Here is a 26,184-nt window from a genome sequence, read left to right on the forward strand (position 1 = left end):
ACCTGATTTGGTCAAGTCTCCATTCCTGTATTACCCCTGTGGCCAAAGGGGATTGAGTAACTATAATTAATCCAGTCATGAGGGAGGAAGAGTTGCTGCATAGACCAAAAACAAGAGCCTCTACGTACTGAAGTGATAGGGCAAAGAACATATATTTACGAATTATAACCAAGTCTAAATTGTATTCGAATTCCTAGAAGATCAATGTTACTTAACTTTCCTGTGAATAATACTCTTGCCTCTTACTAAGTAGCACACTATCCCTAATATTCCAAGGTGAAACTCAGTCACTGAGAATTGGGCATGCTGCACCAGACTGTTTTCCCAGTAGTAGCAGGAGATATGCTGAACCTCATATTCTTTCTCTTTACTGCTTTATTATCATTAATGCCTTAGACTGAATTTCTCCAGAACTGATCATGAGACAGGAATCTGAGTACAAATGGATTATTTGAGAGATGGGCCCAGGAAGCACCATTAGGGGAGAAGTGGAAGTAAGACAGGGGAAAAAAGAAATCTACTACAAGAAACATTTATAAGAATATTAGTGCTTCAAGCAATTGGGGCTCAAATCCACTGGGGGGGGCTCTGGAAGACAGCGTGGAACATGCTACCCTCTGAGTTTTCGCACTTACGACATAGGAAGCTGGGGAATTTATCCTCAAATTCCCACTGGTATTGGCTAAACATTGTTCCTAAAGTCAATAATTCCTGACACTTTAGGCCTACACTCTACACCAGCAAGAGAAAGCCCCAGAGTGCAGAGTAAAAGGCATGTGAAATAGAATAACCTTAGCACATATGAGAAGGGTGAGTCCCAGAGAATGGAACCAAGGCACACAGCCTTGGCTAATACCAGTAACACACACTTATGAAAATGTGCCTTCATTTATTCAAATACTTACCAAGCTCCTATTAAGTTTGAGTTTTCTTCTAGATGATGGGCATACACTGAGGGACAAAACAAAGATTATTGTCTTATTTAATACCCAGCACAACTGGGCGGGGCAGGGGCAGATTCCAGGGGCTACATGTCATAATCCTCTTCACAACAGCAACTTCAAATGTGGTCCCTAATCTTAAGAGTAGCAGCAGGGTCAGCAGTATTGGGCTTCACCATTACTAAGCCAGGTGTGTTGAGGTCTATGATCCAGTAATGAACCTGAATCAGAAATGGAATCTCAGATAGGTATTGGAAAAGTGGGAGAGTTCCCATCGTAGGACAGTGAGTTACATTTTGTTTAGGAAACTCTTCAGGGACATCTTCTCTGTGGTGGCTTGTGTCCAGAGGCACTGCAGAGTTGCCTGCTCTAACTCTTGACAGTTGAGTGGGGCATGCAGCTTCTGGACATGGAAAGGACTAAAGTTAATTTGCCCATCTGGGGATTGAACTGGCATCAGTGACTTCAAATGTGCCCTGCAGAGCCCAAATGATCTCCATTACAAACACAGAATGCTCCGCCTTCCAAATGCCACAGAATTCCATTTTATCTGCACTGGCAGGGTAAGGCAGAGTATTTGCCAAAACTCCAGACATAGGGGGTTATTTGTAAAACCTTAGAGTATTATCAGGTGTTGCTTTCAATAAACCATTACACTTGTATAGAAAGTAACAAACTACGTGGTCTAAGGACCAGTTATCCCTATTCCAAAAAATAAAGTGTAAGTAAGTAAAGCAATTTTACATTGAATCTTGAACATCTATGTACATAATTTAGAATTTGCTAAAAGGTAATTTTATCTGTGCTGATTATCTTTACCATTTGGCATTTCCCATCTCAGGGCAATGAGTACAACTTCACAAGTCCAGCTCCGCTTAGCTGTGAGTACTCAATTTCACTAAAGACTTAAACAGAAAATTAAAAATCTGTGAGAATTGGGATGAGTCCTGTCTGTCTTAAAGCAGGGTGAGCAAATATATGTGGCACATGCCCTTAAGAGACATTATTAATTGATCACCTCTCACTTTCACACTGAGCCTAGGCTGAACCTTAGAATCCGTCACAGCGCAGGTGTCCACTCAGTCATGACTGGCCTTCCAGAACTGGGTACTGGAAATGAAACCTACTTGACACTTAGGATACATTTATAGAGCCTGGTCCCCTCAGTACTATACTCCCCTCTCACAAACAGAGAGAGAGAAAAAAAAGAGGAAGAGGAGAGCAGAGAAAGGATGGGGGAAGGAATGAGAGGAAGAAAAAAAACTCTGAACCAAGTATCACTTCCTTTGCGGTCTGCACATGTCAAGGAATACTCCATTTTAAGCATATTATAACGGCAAAAAGAAAAAAGCACTATCAATAGCGGTTCACACTTTATGGCTGCTCACCCTGAAACTGTAGCAGCTAACTTTCTTGGGAAAACTCAGACAGACTCATTCTTTCCAAAAACAAGGAAAGAAGAAAAAGAATTTCCCACATCCTTAAGATAACTGAGAAGCTCTCAGTAGGAGTAAACTGTCCAAATAAAATTCAACGGCACCCCCTTTGGAAGGATAGTTAAGAAACACCACATGTACAAAGAAGGATTAAGATTCCAAATACTGTCTTTTCTCCAACTCGATTTTTCCTTCTTGTGCCCTTACTTCTCAAACAGTTATTCCCTTTGCTATATCACCCAGAAGTCTGTGATTGGATCTCCCTTGGACTCCAAAGGGCTCTGGGTATGAGAAAGTAGTCCAAAATATATATATATATATATATATATATATATATATATATATATACACACACACACACACACACACACACACATATATACACACACACACACACACACACATATATATGTGTACATATATGTCTAGGATTTACTATAGAAAATTTTTAAAATATTTTTATGTATTTATATTTATAATATATTTACATATTTAGTTTTATATATATTTATATAAATATATACATATATTTATATAAATATATACATATATTTATATATATATAAATATATTTATATAAATATATAAATATATATATATAAATATATTTTGTATTATATATTAAAATATATACGTATATATGTGTATATATGTATAGGATTTACTATAGAAAAATATTTCATATTTTTATATATTCATATATTTTATATTATATATTAAAAATATATGTACGTATGTATAGGATTTATATACATATATGTATATATGTATAGGATTTACTATAGAAAAATATTTTATATTTTATATATATTAAAAAATAAAAAAATAAAAATATAAAATATATAAAATATATAAAAATATAAAATATATCTATATATATCTATATTATATATAGATATGAAGATATAAAAAATCTATATATTTTATATAGATATAAAATATATAATTATATAAATAATATAGACATAAAAATATATATTTATATATTTTTTCTATAGGAAATCCTATATATATTTATTTATTTATTTAGGACTGCTTTTCCTGAAACTCTGTAAAAGTTTTCATCATACTAGCTATTTCTTGTGATGAGCCAGATCATCATTCACCTGGTATAAATGAGCTTGGCTGTGAACACGGTTAGAAATTAGAGCCAAGGATGATCTATTAGTTCATCGTGTGTGTCTCATGGGACAAAAGCAAATGTGTTTCTCTAAAGAGTTTTCTTGAATGGTTTCCCAAGTCCAACTTGAAATCACATTCACAATCTTGTCATTTTCCTCTTTCTTGCAGCACACCAGTAATTAGATGTTTTAACACGTCATGGCAATGATATCTAACATGAAGGCAAACTGTATTAAGACACAGCATCACCCAGTTTTATACTGTAAGCTCATTTCCAAACATTATTTGTTTTTATAAATTTGAGCGAGGCTGACTCTTTCCTCTCTGCCTTTAATTAATAAGGAAAGCTTAATATGCACTTTTTTTTCATCAATCTGGCACTAAAAATCCTGAATTCCTTTTGTAGTAATTTGAAAGAAGAGTTTGGGGCTATTAGGAGAAATTCACATTAGGCATTTCCCTACATGGCCTACTTATGTTTTTCAAAGTGAAGGGATATTTCAAGGAAAGAAAGACTTGGGGTACTAGAGATGTCTGCCCCATCTAAAGTCTTATTTTTCTATTTCCTATATCAAGAAGCCTTAGGTACATTTTAGTAACATAGCTTGAAATATATTTTGAAAAGGGGAACAAGACGTAACCTGACCCACTACAGAAAAATGCCTCATGTAGATCCTTGAATGAATTTATGACTGTAAAAGTCCCTCTCTTTTGTTTCCTGGGTAATTATTTCACACATTTGGGAGGTTTATAGGGAATGCGTATCAGCTTTTCAAGTAAAAAGTGTGAGTCTCTGACTCTTCCTGGAAATCTGGAAGCAACAGAGAATGAGAAATTCTCAGGCAGCCTCCAAAATTGAGCAAGAGATACTGCAGGTCACCTTCAGTGCTGAATATTCCAAAGTTAACTTCGTTAAAAATGCACAAACAACCTGATAAAATATCTGATTTTACCTTTTAAAAGTAGGATTAAAAATTTAGGAAGCTTCGTGACTTACTCTCGCATCTCTCTTTGATATTTCTTTGTTTGGTATTTCTCTCACCTCTTATGCCCTGGTGGAGTCTATTGTTGGTTTATGTGTAACATGATCGAATAAAGCAAAATTGTAAACATTTTCTTTTTAAATAAATAGACTTTTACCTGAACATTATAATCACAGTATCTCATTCATCCATTCACTCATTCATTCATCCATCTATTCATTCATTCACCCATTCATTTATTCACTCAGGTATTTTCTGAGTTCTTTCTGTGTATCTGGCGCTCCTCTAAGCAGTGGGGATACACATGTCCCCTGTTCTCATGAGCTTACAGTCTCCTGGTGAAGGATTTTAATCAAATCATCACACTTGTGCCTAAGGGTTTCAAACTGAGATAAGGATCTCAAAATAAAGGAGCAAACACCCGAAGGATCAAGGACGACTTCCCTGTGGGGGTGGTCCCTGAGCCAAGGGCTTCAGCAGAAGCAGAGGTTAAGTAAGTAGGAAGTAGGACAAGCCCTCCAAGATAGGGGAATGCAGTTAGGGCCTCGAGCAGGAGGAAACAGGGGCAAAGCTCTGAAAGTAAAGGACAGGTAGTATTTGCTGAGCTACTCTAAGACAGATTCTCCCACCTATGCTGACAGCATGCACAATTTCAGCTCAATGAATACAAATGAATGCTCTAAGTATTTTTTAGATTCTCTAGATTATGCACATTGAGGAGCAGTTTGGGGTAGGGATGATGGAGGTCTGGCCATTAGACTCAGGCTTTAAAGAGGTTCTGGGAAGGGGAGCCAATCTGAAGTACCTGGAAATTGGAAAAAATAGATGAACAGTGATTTTATCTGGCTTCCAATGGCAGATAAATTTCCTTTCGGGAAAGGCAGATATTCTCATTTCAAGCCAGGCTCCTCTGCCCTCACTTTAGCATATGAGGAAACTGAGCTCTTGAGTTCCTGGAAACCTTTGAGAATATGGAGACAGCCTTTTCACTAGGTCAGTTTAGCTTCAGAGGGAATGAGATGGCTGACTTCCCCCACACATTAGGACTTTCATTCCAACCCTCGGCCAGCACCTAGGGAACAAAGCAAGGCCCCAGCTTTAGTTCTACTTAAAGTGAGACACTGCTTGCTCTTTCACACTCAGGTTAACATTCACTCCAACAATGAGTTCAGAAGTGACCATGGGAAGACAAGAGGCTTTCCAAATAACTACCTCACCATGGCACAGGGTCTCTGAGGGCTGGGCATGTTAGAGTCTGAGATATAAAACACAGTATAAAGAACGTTCTATTTTGCAAAACAATCACATTCTACAATCTATACCTAAGTAACAGGAAGAGAGCAGATCTCATTATGTCCCTTCTACAAGAAGAACATCTGCATTGAGTTGGGTGTCTTCATAGGGAGTCATTCTCAGGGAACGTGAAGCTTCCTCCCCATCACCCTGACCTCCCTTCCCCTGTAAATTTCCACATTGATTGATTGTAAACAAATTGTGTTCATCTGCCCAGATTCCATTATATCAAAAAGACATACTCCTCTCCACAAATATCGGAGATAGACAGACAGATAAAGAGGATTACTTTCCAGTAGCAGGGGTTCCTCCCCACTCTTCCTCCACAGAGAACTTTATTTCTAGTACATAGTAGAAGAAAGAGTCAAGAGACGGATGAGAAGACAAACTCAGCAAAGCCTTATTTTTATGCTGCTGTTGTTTTTAACCTTTAGTGGGAAGTAATAGGAGACCTCATACTTTATGAAGCCTTTTTGTATCTGGTGGTAGTTTTTAAAAAGACCATCAGCTAAAATATAAATATAAATTTAACCATGGATGATTGTAATTTCCTGCATTATATTTTTATGTATTTTCGAAAAGTATCTGTAATGAGCGAGTATCATCTCTGTAATCAGAAAAGAAACTATGAAAATATCCCCAGTGAGATCTGTGTTTGCTCACAGGGCACTATTTGGCATGATGAGAGTGAGGGGAATGATCTGAATGTTTTCAGTGCCAAGCACCATGTTGGCCTCAATCGGTAGCAATTCTAATTCTTTTTCCTGTGGATTTGTATCAGTTGCTGGTTCATTTAAATCAGCTATTAAAGGAATAAACATGAATCTTAAAAATACATTTAGAGAAAGTATATTGTTCTAAATTAAGCAAGCAGTTGGCATTTCAAATCATATGGAAGCAGATGAGGGGAACCCGCTCTCACCAGATCTCAATCCACTTTGCAAACTGCTTACTCCTTAACTTGGCTCCCTAATTAGGGCATTTTATCTTTGTGAGCATTTACCATTACTGCATCATGATAACTCTTGGCTAGTATTCTGTGAAGAAATAATTAATAATAATCCACACCAGCCAAAAGTAGATAGAGCAACATGAGCAAAGAACTAGGTTGGTGTGATGTGGCTCAATAACCACTTGGGGAAAAACAATGAGAGGGTTTTTATTGACCAAAGTGGTTTAACAAATGACACTTAAGTGATCTACTGGCATTTTAGAACAGAGGCAAGACTGCTCACTCATTAAGTCATTTTAAAAATAGTCATTATAGAGCTTTTGCCATAAATCAAGAACAAAAGATTCCAGGAAATAATTTTTTATAATTCATAAACACATAGTAATGTGGAAAGAAGGACTCTATAGAGTTGAACAGGGTTATCAATTACATTTTCCAGTTGTCTATCCTAGAGACAACATTCCTTCCGTGAGTTCAAACCTTAAACATCCAGATGAGGTATTGTGGGTAAACTTGAGGATTGACACACTTCAGCAGACTACCAGCTCCATGAGATCAAGGGCCACATCTGTTTTATTTAGCGAGAAGCAGAATTAGGCCATGTGTGACAGTGGGTGTTACTCAGCAGGTGCTCAGTGAATAATGAATGGATTAATGACATTGTATAGTAGTGTCTGACTTTGCAAACAGAAAATCACAGCCTTTGTGAATGTAAATTTACACAGTAAACCCAATACCATATAGACTTTTAGTGATATTTTGGTATTTAGAAAAAAGACTAAGATCTTCTCCAGGTAGAAAGGTATTTTGTCAAGTATTTGCTGTGTGTGTTTGACTTGTTTTGGCCTGCAATGTAAATGATCCTGATAGACATCTAGTTCTACTGGGTTCCACAGCACTTCTTTAGCCAGTGGGGTCTTGTATTCAACTTGTATTTATCACGTCCTTCTAATTTCACTTGTCTCACCCTGGCTGTTATTATAATCCCAAACAGACAGATACATTAGTACCCCAGGCTTAAGTCTCATCCTATTCATTGCTATCGGGTTATTCTCTAGGAAGCATCTTTCTTTTCATCTTAGTCCCTTCTTCCTTCCTTCCATCAGTCCTGAATGCTTTCTGAGTCAAATTCCGAGAGCAGACCCTGGCTCCTGAATCTTTTTATGCTCAGACCCTGCAACTGCTCAACAGTCGTTGTCTCCCTGATCCTCTTCACACAGCCATATGTCGGCCAAGATGCTCAACTCACTACTGCCACCTTTATACCTAGGCTCATGCCAGTCCCTTTGCAGAGAAAGAGAAACACAGAGGGAGAGAGAAACACAGAGTCTTGAGTCCCTGGATCAAGCCATACCTGAAGTCAGAAACTTCCCTTGAACTCTTTAATTATGTGACCCAATAAATCATCCATTTACTGTAGCCAGTTTGGGTTTTCTGACACTTGCAACTGAAAGAGTCTTTAACGTATGCAGGGAAGAGGAGATGAGGAAGAGAGGAACATAAAAATGAAGTAAAACGAAACAGAGGAAGAAAACAATGAAAGATTTGTCCAAGGCTGTAGAACTAAACAGTATTGGATAAGAATATAGAACATGAAGCCCAGAGCCCAAGACTCTTTCCCCTACTACTTCCCTTCAGAAATTAGTACTATTACTCATTGCCACACATTGTTACTTTAAACCTAACCAAATGAGAAGTGACCTGCCATCAAGCTCCCGCAGGTTTAAGACATATATTTGTCCTGAGTAACTTATATTGTTTTCCTGGCGTAGTACATTTAAGAATTACTTTTACAATTAAGCTGCCCAAGGGGTCTATAGATGCCCGTTTTAATTTAAATAAATACTAATGCTAAAATCAATTTGTAGGATATTTCAATTGGACCGATAAGTACAGTCTTCACTAAATCCAAAGTATTTCCCTATTAGCGCATCTTTAGAAGCGTATACCAACAACACATCAGGATTTTCAGAAACCTGCTACAAATACATTACTCCCAGAGACTGGATCAAACAGCTGATGATCAAAACATAAGGCAAAAACTAGTATTTCATCTTTGAATTCGGAGTACCTGATTTCTACTAAATATTGATTAGAGTTTTTCCCATAAGAGATCCTGCTTTGTGCCTCCTTAATTTTCTTGGTTTCAATAGTGCTTTGTGCAGAGAACAGCAGAAGTAAGGCAGAGGATACAGCTGTCATCTGTGCCACAGACATTGACATGCAGCTTAGTCACAGAACAGAGAGAACACGTGAAAGTCACCATCACACCCTCGCAACAGTGTCAGTGTAAAGACTCAGGTTCCAGATATGAAGACAGGACTGAAAATGCTTCTGGCTACAATGAAATGAATCTACCACACACTTGCCAACTTTATTCAAACTGATGATATTTTTCTTTAAACAATGGATTTAGTTATTCTACCCGTAAGAAGTCCAGGTCGTTAATGAAATGATAATTTTCTACAAACTAAAAACAAACATATCTCATCCTACTAATGGTTCCTGCCTCTCCAATATTTCACTTAGGCCATCTCCCTTTTCTCTTCTGGTAGAACAACTTCAATAGGTAAGAAAGTTTTCTTACATCCGGGAAATTTCTTTAACCACCAAAATCCATGGTGTTTGCTTTTCATCTTCAACTCACTCCTTGGTCGTTACGACATGTTGCCTCCTATTTCTGGTTATCTATGTTAGTTTCCTGCTCTTCCTACAGAATTGCAACCCCGGAAAGAGAGGTACTGAGTCTCACACACCTTCTTCACCTGGAGCTTGTAACAACATCCTACAAAGCAAGTAATCAACATGTGTTTTACAGAGAAAACTGGTTATCCCTGGACTGTATTAAAACAGTGGTATGGGTACTCTAAAATAACACCAATGTGAGTGTAGAATGCATTTCTCATTTAAGAGAGGTGTTCATTCAGCCTGAGGATGGGAGAATTTACGAAACCTCAAACCCCAATTGGCAAACAGCCTCTCTACCTTCCCAGTTTACAAAACCCTACCTGAGAGAAGGTGTCTTCTCTCAAATGAAGACTTCCAGATCCTGTTCTCCACAGACAATTAAATGTGGTTTAAAAGTTGCTGCTGGGAGCTGAGGTTATTACCCACTTTCTGATGAGGCCGGCGCCACCAAAACCAGCCTGTGGGAGCTGATTTCACTAGGACTCCCCCAACATTTTCTTGATGTTGGAGGTGTAACGGGGTCTCAGTTCCTGTTCAACTCTGCCTCTGACTGGATTCTAGGTCTTGAGCAAGTCACTGCTTCCCTCTGAACCTCAGTTAACCTCATCTTTAACATGGGGATAAAATTCCTGGCACCATAGCTACCTCACTCAATGCTGGGGAAAATTAATAATATTGATAGTGTTAATAATTAAATAATAGCTAACATGCACTGAGTTATACCATATTCTAGGCACTGTGATAAGTCCCATACCTCCCTTAACTCTTACTATTCTCATAACTACTCTATGACACCAAGCACCATCATTATGTCTCTTTTACAGATGAGGAAAGTGAAGCTCAGAGATGTTAAATAACTTGTCCAGGATCACAGAGCTAGGAAGAAGCAGAGCAATATTTGAACACTGGCATTGTGGGTTACAAAGCATTACTCCCAGAATACTGCCTTACAAAAATAAGATAAGCCATGTGACACAAAAATCTTCACAAACTGCAAAATATTAAGCCACTGTAAAGTACTGTTACCATCAATGCAAATAGATGCTCATTACATTTATTGTAAAAAGCAGGTAACCACCAACCCGTTTAGGGAAGGTGCATAAACCTCTGTCAGCAATACTCAATCCATCTGCAGAGAAACAATTAGAACTGCATTAGCACATAATCACAGAAGAAGTTCTCTTGACACCATTTCTGCCAAAGAACTCATTCTTCCCTGGAATTTGAAAAGGCAAAAAGAAAAAAATCCCATGCCGCATCTGACAATAGGAACAAACTCTTCTTGCAGCTCTGGTAATGCAACACTTCTGAAAGAACAAGTTAAGGAACGTACTTCCACTGCCCTCATTAGCTGACAACCTCTGTGGGGACTGCAAACCAGCCACACATTCAAAACAAATCCCAGGGAAGAAATCACACCACAAAGCCTGTTTCTATTTGCAAGTAAAATGACGGCCCCAAGTGTCTTTCCATAAAGCTGTGTGGTACCAAATCCAAAGCCCAAACTGGTTACAAAGGGTCGCCATTGATAAGACATGGCATTTCAGGTCCACCCACCATGGGCCAAGGAGGTATAAAGCTCAGAACGTGACATGCAATTTTTAAGCCCTCCTTTCACCTTGTCTATGCACTAAGTTACTTTGACGCCACACCTGTTTCTATTCTGCCTGGAAGCCCTGTCTGCACAACAGATGGCAGAGTGTTTGCCTAACAAATGTTCTTGTGGGTCAGTATAAGAAGGTGGTGGTGGGGATTGTTGTGGGTACGAAAGGAGAGAGGCTCTGCTAGAGCAGCAAAGAACCATCGATCTCCAACTTAGCTAGGGAAACTTCCCACCCAATGAGGGTCTGGGTATGTCTGAGCTCTGAATGTTCTCACCTCTGTTCATCCCTTCTGACAATCTTGTCCAGGATAGTACAAATCTGCTGCTGCAACCGGAAATTACAAAGAAAATCTGATGTAGGCATTTAGAAAAAAAAAACAACAGAACAAAACCTTATCAAATTTAAAAGTTAACTTCAAATTCAATTCTAACTCTATCTCCAACTTAGCTCTCTTGAATCTAACTGAAGATTCAACTTTCTTAACTCTAAACTTAACCCTTGAATCCCAACTCCTAGCTTTCACCTCTCAAGTGTCTTAACTCTAACTTAAAGTCAAACTTAGTCTCTTGAGGAGGTAATTAAACTTCAACAACTAATTGGAATGAGTTCTTGTGAACTGAGAGCTTGGCTTATCAACACATCTGGTCTTCAGAGGTTAAGAAAAAACTCACTTTCTGTTATTGTAAACTTAACACCAGAGTAATGTTTTATTTCAGCTATGATGGTAATATTTTTTAAATTATGCTATTATCCACTTAAAAAATCCATGATGTAAGGTATAAAGTAACATAATGCTCCTTGATGGTGAAAGCACATCTTAGGCACCATGCTTTGGAGAAAAACTGTGGATCTGGAGGGAATCTCCTCCTCCCACCCTAAACCACACATACCTAAACCACACACAGCACCGGGTATACCTCAGTCTTCAACATAAAGAACCAACTCGGCACGTTCCATTTCATTTGACTCACTTGCTTAGATAGCTTAGGAAACCAATCTGCTCAACATTAGTAAGTCTGGGCCCATTAAAAGGGGACTGACACTAAACTGAAATCCATTTCATCTCTTCTCCAGGGTTTTCCTCGGACTCTCTGATCAGCCTTTCCTTCACACAGGGGTGAGGCCAAAACTACTATAGATGAAGAAGAAGAGAGTGAGATGATGTTCTTTTTGAGGGCCAGGATGACACTGGCTTTGTCCAGTGTTTTCATCACAGAAATTGAAGTGGGCATGTAGTAGGTTCTCAAAAAAACAAAACAAAACTGGTGAATAAAGACGATGTGTGCTAAGCACTAAGCAGAGACCTCCCCATTCGTGCTCTTATTTAATACTCACAAAATCCTAACAGCAGGGGGTATTATTATTCCAATTTTGCAACCAAGGAAACACATGCAAATAGCTAACAGTGGACAGCATCAGATTTAAATACTTAAAGCATGCATTTCCCATGAGTGAGAGAGACATTTTGCAAACATGGGTAGAATGTGGCTTTGTGACTTGCCTCAAGATTCACCCCATCAATTTAGGCAAAAAATACAATCTTCCCTGACTATTTAGTTGGAAGATAACAAGTCAGGGAAATTCAGTCTAGCAGTCCATGGGTAAGCCTCAGGGGAATAGGAGGCCCCTGAAATTAAATGCGACATTTTGTGTGTATGTGAATTTTTCCATGGAAAAAGTCTGCAGCTTTCGAATACTTGAAAGATTCTATGGTCCTCCCAGCCCACAAAATTTAATGACTTAGCTGCTTTTAATTAAAGTTATGCTTCTAATTCTCATCCCCAAAGAGTCCAAAGGGCTCCAGACACCCTTTGTATGCCTACTGAAAGAAAAATGATTAGCATGAAAGCCTGGTGGGTATTAGACATGAGAATAGTCAAACACCTTAGGTATGGAAAGCACCCACATAGATCATTACTTAACGAAGAAAAGTAATTGAGAATGTATTCCATTGCTAGCATTTGTCCACAATGAGATTGAGAAGCCATTCTATTGCTGACCAGATGGTCCTGAGGATAGTGAAATGACAGAACCCCTGTATCACTCATCAGATTCACTGCTCTTCAAAATATGAAAAAGAACCAACAAAATCCTCATTATGACAGTGCCTACAAACAAGATCCTTCTGACCATTTCACATTCTGCAAACTTCATCTGCAATAAGAATGTCCAGACCTGAGGCTCTATACTTGGTGAAACCATGCTCATGTTCAAAAAGCATTTATTGAGAGCCTACTATATTCTAAGTACCGCAATAAATACTTGTTCCTATACCATCTGGATGCCCTCATGTGATTCTAGGCAACACGTTTAAAAGAGAACAGTCACCAAATAGAGAACCCTGAGATGGGAGGAACCAGTTTGGGAAAGGGATAAAAATCATGCCATGTACACAGCCAAAGGCATTGATGATTCTTTAAAGGGAAAGTAATACATTTTCTTTCAACTTCTACAAAGTTTCTAGGTAGAAGAAGAAATAGAGAATCAATCCAAATTGCCAGAGAAGTCTGAAAGAGGACCACAAGGTAAATATTTCAGAGAAGCAAAGTGTTGGTTCACAATAATAAAAAGAAAGAAAGGAAATGAAAAAGCAAACTATTATAGCTGGGGTTATTCAACAATGGAATAAGACAGCTGGTAAAATGTTAGTCGTTGCTGGAGGAATTTGAAATGCATTTATATGTTAAAAGCACTAAAGCTAAAACTATAAAACCAAAAGATGGGTTAGTACAAGATGATTGTCCTAAAATACAAAGAAACACACATTGTCAGTATGTGAACCTTAAAAACTAATGTTGGTTATTCTGTTTAAAGAGAAGAATGTGATGTTCACAAATCAACTTATCACAAATTACATGCTTACTCTAGTAATGTAATGACCTTGGGAGCTGACTCATAGTCTTCCTTGACCTAATGAGCATGCTGAGTATAATCAATTAGGTTTGCAATTAAAATTGCAATTTATCTAACACCCCCCTCTACCCCCACCTTTTTATAAGGCTCAGGAGACAGTGGGGTGATAAATATAAGCCCTTCTGCTGTGGCTATCTTTTATTTTTTAAGCATTTCTATTACGTATAATTTATTAAACCTTAAATTTCTTCCCTATTTGTAAGTTTCAGCAAAATTTAGTCAGGTTTCAACACAGGGTATCAAGGGATAATTAGGACAGTTAGCAGTAATTTATCATTTCTCAGCTGGGTTTTCATGCTTTCGCTGACTGCCCGTAGAAATCTGTTAGCCACTTCTACACAGATCACTATGAAATCTGCTTTATCTTTGTGCAAATTGCTTTTCTATTTTCCTAAAGTGAGCTGAAAGATGAGCCAATCGACTCCTGAAAATCTAGCCACCGGTGTGCTTGTCATCAGAGTGCAGCTGAGGCCAGGGCCGCAGATGAAGGGCTACAGTGGCTAATGGATGATGCAATGCCATGAGAGGCTTTTTTCCAGCCTGCTGCGGGTTAGAAATTTAAACCAGGCAGCCCGACTTCAGGTTAGATCTTCACAAAATATGCCCAGGAATCTATGAACATGCCAATACACATTTTATGGAGCAAATATTGCCTAGTAAGCCACCAGAGAGGAAAAGCCTAGAAAAGGCAGAGACACTAGTACTATACCACTTCCACTGAAAAGAGGGATTTTATGAAGCCTGAACCAAAAAGGGAGGACCTCGTGTTCTTTAGAGAGATTCATTTACTAGATGGTGAAAAATGAATGCTTCGGGTAATTTCATTTTGAATTGATTTATTTCTAAATGGGGGGAAACTGACACTTGGTGAAGAAAGTAACAAGTGGTTCTCTGGAAAGAGCCAGCCAGTCTCAGGTATAATCCAATTATTCCAACACAGGAAATAAGGACACAGAGGGAAGGGTGGAAGGTCACCTGAGAAAGTCATTCCTTGCAATGAATACCTTCCTGTCCCCTTCCCTACAGACTCTCAGAGAAGTATAAACTGACCCATATTTCCAGTTTATTTCTGACACCTAAACCTAATCAAAGTCCACTATTTAGAAATCCAATAGTTATTCGCAATTAGACTGCACGGCAAATTAAATCATAAATTTCTCTATCTCAGCCCTGGTTGTCACATTCCTAAAACACAACTTGCCTCCCTCCGGCACTTTATTTAAATCTCTGAGGCCGGGCTCCAAAGCAAGTTATGGATTTGATAATTTGCTAATGTGGCCACAGTAATTGTTTTGAGCCATATTTATGATTTTATTGGATCTTACAACAATCAATAATAATCCATTGATGTCCCTGACTCGGGTTTTCTCGCAGTCGACAAATGGGGCAGCAGATTCATTTTTAATGTACTCACTTAGCACTCCCTCCCTGGGAGAGAGAGCCCTGCATATTTTAAAAAAGGGCAAGAAATGAATGGCACTGGTACACATACTTTACTGTGAAAAACTAGCTGCAGGATAAGATTTAATGCTAAAAAGAAAGGAGAGAATAGACTAACAGGGCCCATTTTGTGCAGCACCACCATCGTTAAAGTTAATGGAATTACCGTGTGGTCACGCACTAGAGGGAACCTATTGGAAGTTAAGCTCTTCTAGGGCCATTGATTCACAGACTTTCATTCAAAGATTCCCACTAGCATGTGATGAGTATTGCAGATATGCAGAGGCACTTTAGAAACTGTTTACTCAAACTGCCAGTTAAGCATATTAAGAAACAACAATAACTGAATATTTTAGAGTGGATGATCTAGTGGAACGTGTCTTCTGTTAGACATAGTAAAAACTTCAACTCCGACTGGCTTAAACAATAGAGGACTTTATTGGTCACCTAATTTTTTTCAGGCTGGAGTGCAGTGGTGCAATTTCAGCTCGCTGCACCCTCTGCCGCCTCCCAGGTTCAAGTGATTCTTGTGCCTCAGCCTCCCAAGTAGCTGGGATTACAGGGGTGTGCCACCACACCTGGCTAATTTTTGTAGTTTTAGTAGAGACAGGGTTTCACCATGTTGGACAGGCTGGTCTTCAACTCCTGACCTCAGGTAATCCGCCCACCTCAGCTTCCCAAAGTGCTGGGATTACAGGTGTGAGCCACTGTTCCTGGCCAGATCACCTAATTTAAATGTCTGGAAGTAATGCAGGCTTCAAGTCTGGTTAATTCAACAATCCAATAATGTCACCTAGTGTCCAGCTTCTTTCTGTCTCTGCCATGTCAGCCTCAGCATCTGTTTTGCTCTGAGGCATGTTGCCCTAGAAAATATAAGATGGCTGCTAGAAGCTGTCAGTTACCTGCTTTCTTGTTCATAAGCAGTAGTGGAGAAAACAGCCCATCCACAACTAATGCATCTAAGTCCTCCATGATGATGGGACTCCGATCCTTTAGAGTGTAGGATTCCTAAAGTCAAGGGAATCCTACACTCTAAATAGCTTAGGAAAGGATTAATGAAAGTCATTACTGTGGCAGAGACAACTGACTTAGACTGGGATGGGCAAATTATGGCCCTCAGGCCAAATTTGGCCCACCATCTGCTTTTACAAATAAAGTTTTATTGGAATACGGCCATGCTTATTTGTGACAATTCATTTTCATATATTCTATGGCTTCTTTTGTGCTGTAAAGTCAGATACATAATTATGACAAAGACCATCTGGCCCTCACAGCCTAAAATGTTTACTATCTGGCCTTTTACAAAAGAAGTCTGCCAACCCCTGGTGTGTACCAAACAAGGTCTGCACCTGGAGCTAAAGATGAGTTCAAACCCATCCTAATTTTGTGGCTACTAAATCAAGAGGGAGGGTAGGAAGAATGCTAGAGGGACAACCACAGTGCCTAAGATAGACATGAGAGAAAATCCTTCAAGTCTAGAAAAATGGGCTTAGAAACTAAAAAAAAAAACAATTTAGGAAACCTATCATAAGCACATGTGAAATACCCTCTGCCCTGAAATACACTCTGAGTATCATCAAAACATCAAATATATTTAAAATTGAATTACAATTCCTTACCACAGCATAAGTCCCAGTGTAACGGCTCCCCGCCCACTCTTCCCACTTCTCTCCTGCTGCCACTCTCCCTACACTAAATTTCTGCCACCTGGTCTTCAATTATTTCCTAGAATGTGCCAAGCTCATTCCCACTGCCATTTCCTCTTCCCAGAATGGTCTTTCTTCTCCAGCTCTTCGCTGGCTAGGCGCCTGTCGTTCCCTGTTCTGGGTTTATGGGTTATCTCTTCAGTGACCACCCCATCTAAAGTAGCCATACCACCCCATTCCCCTTCCACCATGTCATTCCATTTCATAACACCTTGTTTTAGTCTTTCTAGTATTAACCCAAATCTGCAATATTTTATTTGTTCCCTTTCACATAAGGGGAAGAAGACAATACACTGAGAGTTTTTCCTAGGCTGTCTTGCCTTCCACTTTAACCCAGTGCCTGGGAGCACATGGCACATAGTAGGCACTCAATAAACACTTATTGGAGTAATATGTTAATATTAACTATAGAATTTCTACAACTTTTTCAGCCTTCCTGCATTATGGTGTTCATTTCAAAGTCTGTACTTGAAAACAAGGACTACGTCTCATTCTTCTTAGGTTCTCAGAGCCTGTGACGATATCTGGCACATAGTAGGTGATAGAAGAATAAATTAATGAATGAATGCCAGATAGAAAAACATGAGTAGGCAGGATACTCATTTCCTGGAAGGGAGGAACAGACTACTTTGGTAGTGAGGAAATCGAGATCAGAGCGATTCAGAACTGGAAGCAGCTACCTCACAGTGCTTTGAGTTTCCAGGTATAGAGGAAGATGAAAGACAGACTTAAATGCTACAGGGGTGATTAACTGTCAAGTAGTGGATGATGCTAATGACTTTTAAGGTCACTTGCTCCTCTGGGATTTTCTTGAATTATCCCGTGCTCTGAGTTTCTTCCTTAAAGAGTGAGATTCATCGATGGTCATCTGATAGTGGAGCAGAGCTTGGAGTCACATTTATTCCTTCCTTGGCCAAACAGTTTCATCAAAATTATACTGCTAGAACCTGATTACGTCTGGGAATTTATACCATTTACAACCAACAGACGAATTTAAACGCAAATAAAAGCCCCTGGTGAGCTGTTTGTCAGGGCACCAGGATGGAAAGCATGATAAGAAAATATTTTGTGGGGGAACACGAACTGATATATGGACCCCAGAGTGGGAGACTTGAATGTGAACGTTAGGATAAATGAATTCCACCACAAAGTAAAAGAATATTTGGTGTGTTCACTTTGTTAACTCAATGTTGTTTATTCTTCTCAACCACCCTAGGCAGGGTCAACATCTTAAAGAATTCCATCTTCATTTTTCATGTAACGTCAGGAACCAGGAAGACTTGTTTAAAAGAATAAACTACCAGGGAAAGAAATGGAAGTTTTCATTACTGGAATCCAATAATATTATCTTTATGTTGAATAAGCCTAGAATTTCAAACCACTGTTTGTGTGTGTTTTTTTGTTTGTTGTTGTTTGTTTGTTTGTTTGTTGCCCTTCCCTCCTGAGGTTTTGGATTAATCTGATGGAGAAGGCTTCCGAAGATATATGTCTCAACTTCCCTGATTTTGGTGAACAAGAGGCTTCTTTGGAGAACGGATCTATTAGACAATAAGGTAGGATGGATGCCTCATGACATGGGAAGTTAAAATTTCAAAATGACCCTTTCCCAGCACTAACATAATTGACTTAGAAGGAGGGAAAGGATTCCTCACCATGTTTGGCCTGAGGGCCATTATAGAGTCTCACCATCCCAACATTTTTCACTCAAATGTCCTCAGGAAGGTCATTATTCTAATTCTTCCACATCTGTGGCTCTGCAGGTTGCCTTGTCTATTATTCATTAAGCTGGTTTCCATCTGACCCTGGCTCAGCCATGAAATCTTTACCTTTTCCAGCTGCTTTTTGTGTCTTGAGACTTACTTTATTAATGACTTTGGCATAAAGGGTAAAGAGAAGCGCCTGAGGGGACTGAATAATTTGAGATGAGTATCAAGAAAGAATCAAGTCCAGGTCATCTAGACCAAGAATCAAAATATATTTATAAAAATAAACAAATGAAATTGCAGTTGATATTCTGGGTAACCATCAGAATCAACTGTGGACCTTTCAAGAAGCTACTTCATGGGCCCCACCCTCAGAGATTGGAAAATAGGAGGCATGAGAACTAGCTATATGCTAAAGATAATAAAGCAAAGAGAATGAATTATAATAGTCATTTCTTAATGGAAAGTGCTTCAAATGGGGCCCTTGGTTTTTCTTTTAAAATGCACTTTAAATAATAGAATCAACAACCATGTACACATTACCCAATTTAAAAATAAAACACTGTAAAGCCGAAACCCTCAGGTACAATTCACATCCCACATTGCACTGCTTCCCCTCACTATCTCCACCCAGAGGCAGTAAGAATGTTATCTGTGTCCTTCCTTCTAAGCCATATATAGATCTACATGTTTATAAATTATATGGCAGCCTATAAGCAACCTGTTCTTTTATTTTATTATTTCCTGCTGTTAATAACTACTAGTCAAAAGTTTGTAGCATTTGGATCTGTTTCAGCTAAAAGGCCCAATTTCAATCAAGGCACACATTATTGTATGGTCTTTCATTCCCCATTCTGTATTTAAGGATGTGGTGTAGTCTAAAACAAATGGTTCCAGAGCACTTTAAGAGGCCAAGGCAGGAGGATCACTTGATGTCAGGAGTTTGAGACCAGCCTGGCCAACATGATGAAACCTCATCTCTATTAAAAATACAAATAATAGCTAGGCATGGTGGCTCGGGCCTGTAGTCCTAGTTACTCAGGAGGGTGAGGTGGGAGGATTATTTGAACCCGGGAGGCAGAGGTTTTAATAAGCCGAGATCACACCACTGCACTTCAGCCTGGGCAACAAAGCGAGACTCTGTCTCAAAAAAATAAAAATAAAACAAATGGCTCATCTACTGAGGTTGAATTGGCCACTAATATTTAATCAAAAGTACTGAATCTTTCTCACATGATTAATTGGGCTGCATTTATTTTACTTTTTTTTTTTTTTTTAACAGAATTGACAGTTTGGCCAGCCAAGTATTTGGATATCACAGGTTTAAAATTTTGAAATTAGAATGAGCTGATTACATGGAGTTAGAGATTTTTATATTTGATTTCCTAGGCTTGAAACACCCATAGCAAAATGGTGAGGCAGAGTAGTGCTCCTTCAATGATTAGTTATTGAGCACTAGTATCCTATAGCAAAATGACAACAGTGAGTAACCGGCCTTACTACATCAACAAAGGTAAGACTCTGACTGAATAATAACGCCTTACATTTAGGTGGTATTTTAGGGTCTACAAAACACTTGCCTTTCACAGGAGGTTTGACTTCACAGTGATTAAGTAGAAATTACAGGCTCTGAGCCTCAGGTGTAAAAGACAGTTTACTGAATCCTATAAAACACTGAATGTCCCTACTATATGTGCCACGTGTCGGCATTACAAATAGCAAAATAAATTAAACAGCCAAATATCCACTTTGCTATATGTCAGGGCCTCTAATTACTGAGGGGATTTGTTTGGTAGTACTAATGAAAAATTAAACACTAAAAGCATATAATTCTGCCATAAATTGACATACAGCAATAAAGCAGCATTTAGGTTAAGCTTCACCTGTGTAATAAACAGGGATTGTCCTCTGGATATTTTTAGATGGAAACCAACATTATTCCAAGCAGAGCAAAATAATACAGATTAATATGTGGTAAGGGTGACAAAATATTTACAAAACCTGTGCTTGAGTTTCTTCTACTGTGATTACAGGATACAACATATTTCTTTAGGAACAGCCTGGTCATATGATATAATGAAGAGTTGAAATTTTGGATAGGCTTGGGTTTGAATCCCAATTCCACTATCTGTCAACTGTGCTTTTCCAGTATGTGATTTTTTTTCTTTAAACCTCAGTTTCCCTAAGTGTAAAATATTAATGCCTACTTTTGCAGGTTGTTGTGAGGACTGAAGTAAGAATTATAAAACTAATGGTGAACATGTATTGAGACTTTACTATGTGCCAGGCACTATTTTACAGGGATTTACATGCATTAATCCATTTGGTCCTCACAACACTCCCAAGAGACAGGATACTCTTAAGACCTCCATTTTCTAAGTTTATGAATGAATGTGGGGGAGCTCAGAAAGGTTAACTCGCCCAGGGTTCATGCACCTGGTAGGCGACAGCTCTGGGTTTGAAACCAAGTAGTCTGGCCCCAGAGTCCTCCCTCTTCATCAGTATGCTTTAACTTCCCTGCATTTTCTTCTCACCCTCATCCCTGCTTCAGGATCTCTCTCATCTCTTTCACCTTAGCTGCCTTTGAGTTTGAATGAACAGGGAAAAAGTAAATAAGAACGTGAAAATACTAGGGAGCTTGGTTAATTTTTCTTTCAGTGCTTTGATCCAAATGGTATCATGCAAATCAAAGTTAACAAACTAGAAACGGAAAAACTCAATGATTTGTATCTACTTAGGAAAGGGCCTGAGGGTTTAGTAGGAGAGAGGAAGTTTCCCAAAGGAGACAGGCAGGCCCCCAGCCCCTTCTGCCTGGAGAGCTGGGGACTGGGGGTTTTGCCTCAAATCACCAGGAGCGGGAGAGGGAGGGGAAGTCAGAGATATTTACATGCCAGAGGAAAAGGGCTTGGAACCTCAACACTTCTCTAAGGCGTCCACTCCCACATGTACACCCAAACCCATCCCCCTGAGCACTGCAGTTGTCTTTGGTTTACCAACCCAGTCAAACTGGATTCATTCTGAGGGCAGAGATGCAAATTTTAAGGCAATTATACAAGATAAAAGCTACAGCATCCTGAAGATACCAATTCTTCATGCAGGAAATACATGCATTAGGTATTAACATAGTCAGGGCACTGTTCACCATGGCTGTAATGAAAGGATAAAAGTCCTATGGCAAATCACATCTCTCTTGGAGTGTCTTTCCAAATGAAAATAATAAGTAACGGTAAAAGAAAATCATTTTCATCCTCAAGATAAGGCTTTCTCTCTTTCTGTACACATCAAATCTTTCCTAGAAATTGGTTTGGGTTGAGAGCAGCAGCCCCCTACAAGTGCTTCTTATCACTCCTTTAGGAAAGCAGCTTCAGAAAAGTGAAGTGTGCATCAGAATCACTTGTGGTGTCTGTTAGGACAGAGTCCTAGGCCCCACATCAGAACTACCGAGTCAGCAAAGCATGGGGCAGGCAGGCTTCTGTCCTATGGCTACCTTCTTCAGGTAACTGTGAAGTACTCTATCGATTTGTAACCGCGACTTACTCGTGATCATCTGTGCATACACCAGAGGCTAAAAATGTTCGGACAGAGAGGGCCAGTATTATTTTCCCCAATTAAGAAGGCAGATTTCTGAATTTTCAAAGTGTCATTTTTATAAGTTCAGATAAGATATTTAAATAGCACAAGTCATATAATCAGAGTAAAGTTTTCTCAAGAATTTAACCAAAAGGCAGTCATTCGTAGCGAGAGAATTCAGTGTATAATAATTAAGGGAATTTGGCAGCACCACAAACCATCTCAATGCTAGTTACAACCCCTTAAAGCCTAGCCACAATCTATTTTATAGATGAGAAACTGAGATTGAGATTAACGTTAAGAAACATGTACGAGGTCCAAGGGCCATGATGTGGCAGGGCCGGGATTTGAACTGGGGTGGACTGGTCAGATTCTATATCCATGTCCAAATCCTAGCCAATCTCTGCTACATATACCATGTACTGAACATCAATACGTCAGTTTTTCTCCACTATCATTCAATATAATAGATAGGGTTTCCGCATTCAAAAAAAAAAAACAAGGAAATTGATGTTCAGAGAGGCTAAAAGGCTGATCCAAAGGTGCACAGTTAGGAAGTTAATATGGCTAATATTCCTAACGGAACCTCTGATGCCAAAGTATGTTAACTACTAGACTTAATTAAGAGATAAAATGTCCTCATTTTCATGAATCTGAAAGATTACCAAATTTTCAGGTGGAAAATTTGTTCTAGAACCACAGAAACTTCTCAGTGAACAGAAGAGCTTCCTTTTTATCTCATTTAATTTTTGAATTATACTTCTACAAATAATTATCTTCTTCTTCTAGAGCAATCTAAAAAGTAATTTCTAATATCTTAAAAGTTATTAACAGCTACTTCCCACTGCGTTAATACTATAAAATTAAATTTCTAAGTAGAAGATTCAAGTACCATAAACATAGAAGAGTGTAAGCAAGCATAATCTATAAACAGTTCTTACAAGATTCCAGATTACCTGCCTGGAATAAATCTGTCCTTAATATACCTAAAACCGCCTCCCACCCAAAGATGAACATACCAATTGTTCTAAAAGATAGCTCACATTTAACTTATTAAGCAGCATCGCTTCTAAAGAAATGAATATTGCCTTAATGGTTAGATTAGATGGAATTACATTTTGGAACATGATTTGAGAACTTGATTCGTGGAAATTTTAGTCTTCGTTAGTAACACCTGGAATATAGAAGACTTTTGATAGAGATTCCAGGAATATTGCTGACTGCATGCTGGAATACACATACATATCGTCTTCTACTTCATGTTAACTAAAGTTAGAAACTTATGAGATTCGTTCCAACAAGCAACAAGCAAAGTTCCATTATCATCATCATTCTCTTCCCCACACAAAAGAGGCATAGAAAATAAACCGGAGAAAAAGCTGTGTCATTTCCTTACCCATTGCCCGGTTCATGGCTCAGACCCCTGTAACACAATACAGATTAACGAGAGGAAAGCCTAACGAATATATTTAATATAAATTTTATGTGCCATGGGAGCCTTTAGAAATAAAGACCTAAAGACAACTGTGTATTTTTACGGACAGTCATGCAGAAGTATGATTGGATGATAAAAGAGTATGACTTGATGGTAATAAATTGGGGAAAACTTAGCAAGGCCTGTGTGTTCAGATTCTTCTTGGCATGTGAGTAGAGGGCAGAACTCCTCTGGAATGAAGGTCTTATGACCTACTTGCATGGGTGTTAGGTCAGAGAATTCTTTTATGGCACACTTGAGGGTAGACAAATGGAAAAAGGTCAGAGAGTGATGTTCCTGCTTCTGTAGTTTTCTCAGTTTCCTTCACCTTAAAATACTCAGTATGCAGAGCTAGCATATTTTGGGGGTAGCGTGTCCTGAGACCTATCATAAACAATGACAAAATCCAGGTCCTCACAAAGCTTACCTTCTCAAAGAACTAGAGAAAAGACAGAGGTACAGGTGCATAGCCAAACAAACAAAAGACAATGAAGAATGCCTCGAGAGAAATCAAATCATGCACCAGGACAGAGAGTAGGGGCTTTAGGAGAGCTACTTCAGATGAAGGGTCAGGGAGGCTGTTTGGATCTGTATGGTTGAAGATGAAAGAAAAAGATTATTTCTCAAGCCTGCAGGACATCAAACTGCTGCAATAATCACCTTGTGGATGGCAGGGTTCTACTCCTTTTAAACCCAAAAAGGAGAGTTAATAATCAATTGTGAAATAAGAGGTCACTTTTTTACTTTGATATTTCCCTTTCCTGACTACAAGTGCCTTACTGAGTAAGCAAGGCCACGCTTGTTCTTTGCAAAGCAGAATTTAAAGCCCCTGAAACAAAAAAACCCTACAGTGGTATCATGTTCAAGAGGCTAACTCAGTGGTGCACCTTCATTAACGATAACAACAGGTGCTCCAGGGGAAAAGACCATTACTGGGCTTATTGCTATTACCACTCAGCATGAGACAAAAATGGTTTAGAACCCAGGGATCAGGCAGAATCTCAAGAATGAGACACAGAGGCAAAGATGAAGAGAACAGTCACTGTGCTTTCCATGGCAGGTTGTCAAATGCTGCCTTAAAATGTGCAACTGTGTGAATTCCAAAATATGAAATGCTCAGAGGCTTGAATTGTAGTATTCACAACTGGACAGCTGAATATTAAAGATGCTGCTTTGTCCCCTAGAGGGGCTGGCTACTGCAAGACTGGCTTCCAGGGGTCATAATTATGTGGCCATTGCCACTCAATATTTTATCATCATACAATACTGAGGCTGGCAAATATCTATCACGGGATGTGCTTGTTAATAATGAAGATTCCCAAGCCCCAGTCACAGTATTCTAAATAAGTAGATTTGGAATAAGAACTGAGAATCAACTTTTTGTTGTTGTTAACTGATACCAAAGTTAATTTTCATGCAGGTGATACAAAGATCGCATTTTGAAAAGCAGATTCAACAACTTTAGATATGGATACTTTGTCTAAAAGGACAGCTTTGGAACCTTCATTGTTCTCTGGGATTTTATGTGTGTGTGTGTGTGTGTGTGTGTGTGTGTGTGTGTGTGTGTGTGTGTGTGTGTGTGTGTGTGTATGGTGGTTTTCTTATAACCACCATATTCTACAAACGAGTCAAGATATCCCCATTATTTCATATCAGGAAACTTCTGTGATCAGGTTGGAAACAACTGAAAGATGTGCAAAACAGCATAACCTGCTGATTTAAAAAACAGAATCGTTTTAAAAAGTTCAACTTAAGCTAAATAATCAGGGTGATGATAACAATAACCACATTCAACAATTCATATATAAGTACTATATGTTAAGAATTAGTCCATCATCATCACCATCAAAGGTAACAAAAACATTACACATTTTGGCCAGATAATTGGGACATCAAAAAGTAATTACTATTGGAGTTACACAATCTGTAGCCATAGTTATCAGCCCAGCTAGGCTCACTGCTTATTTGTTTTGTGTGTGTGTGTTTATTATTTTTAGTCAAGAGATAATTCAAATATGATAAAATTCACCATTTTAAAACGTACAATTCAGTGGCTTTATTATATTCACAATGTTGCACAACCATCACCACTAAGTCCACAACGTTTTCATTACCCTAAAAGAACCTGTATCCATTAGGAATCATTCCCCATTCCTTCCTTGTCCCAGTCCCTGGCAACCACTAATCTACTTTCTATCTCTATTCAGAGCCTGTTGCATAGCAAATATTTTCTATCCCGCTTTAGAATGGCTAAATGAAATTTTGAGATCATATAACCTATCTATTCATATAAGTTTTAGCTATGCTTACTATGCACCTATTATCATTCTGTGCATCCCACTTAATACAGTTTGTGCAT

General features: G+C 38.7%; 1 protein-coding gene and 1 long non-coding RNA gene across 9 annotated transcripts in view; one reads left to right on the top strand and one right to left on the bottom strand.

Annotated features, from left to right (window-relative positions):
* The window catches only part of FHIT (fragile histidine triad diadenosine triphosphatase), a 1,504,176-nt gene that overhangs the window by 236,540 nt on the left and 1,241,452 nt on the right, over positions 1 to 26,184 (bottom strand). The gene's annotated exons all lie outside the window — the stretch shown is intronic.
* LOC105377112 (uncharacterized) lies at positions 1,087 to 3,715 on the top strand. Its single transcript, XR_940885.3, has 3 exons — positions 1,087 to 1,131; positions 1,783 to 1,822; positions 3,668 to 3,715. It is a non-coding gene; the product is annotated as an uncharacterized LOC105377112 (long non-coding RNA).

This window comes from Homo sapiens, chromosome 3, assembly GCF_000001405.40.
Source record: "Homo sapiens chromosome 3, GRCh38.p14 Primary Assembly".
NCBI lineage: Eukaryota > Metazoa > Chordata > Mammalia > Primates > Hominidae > Homo > Homo sapiens.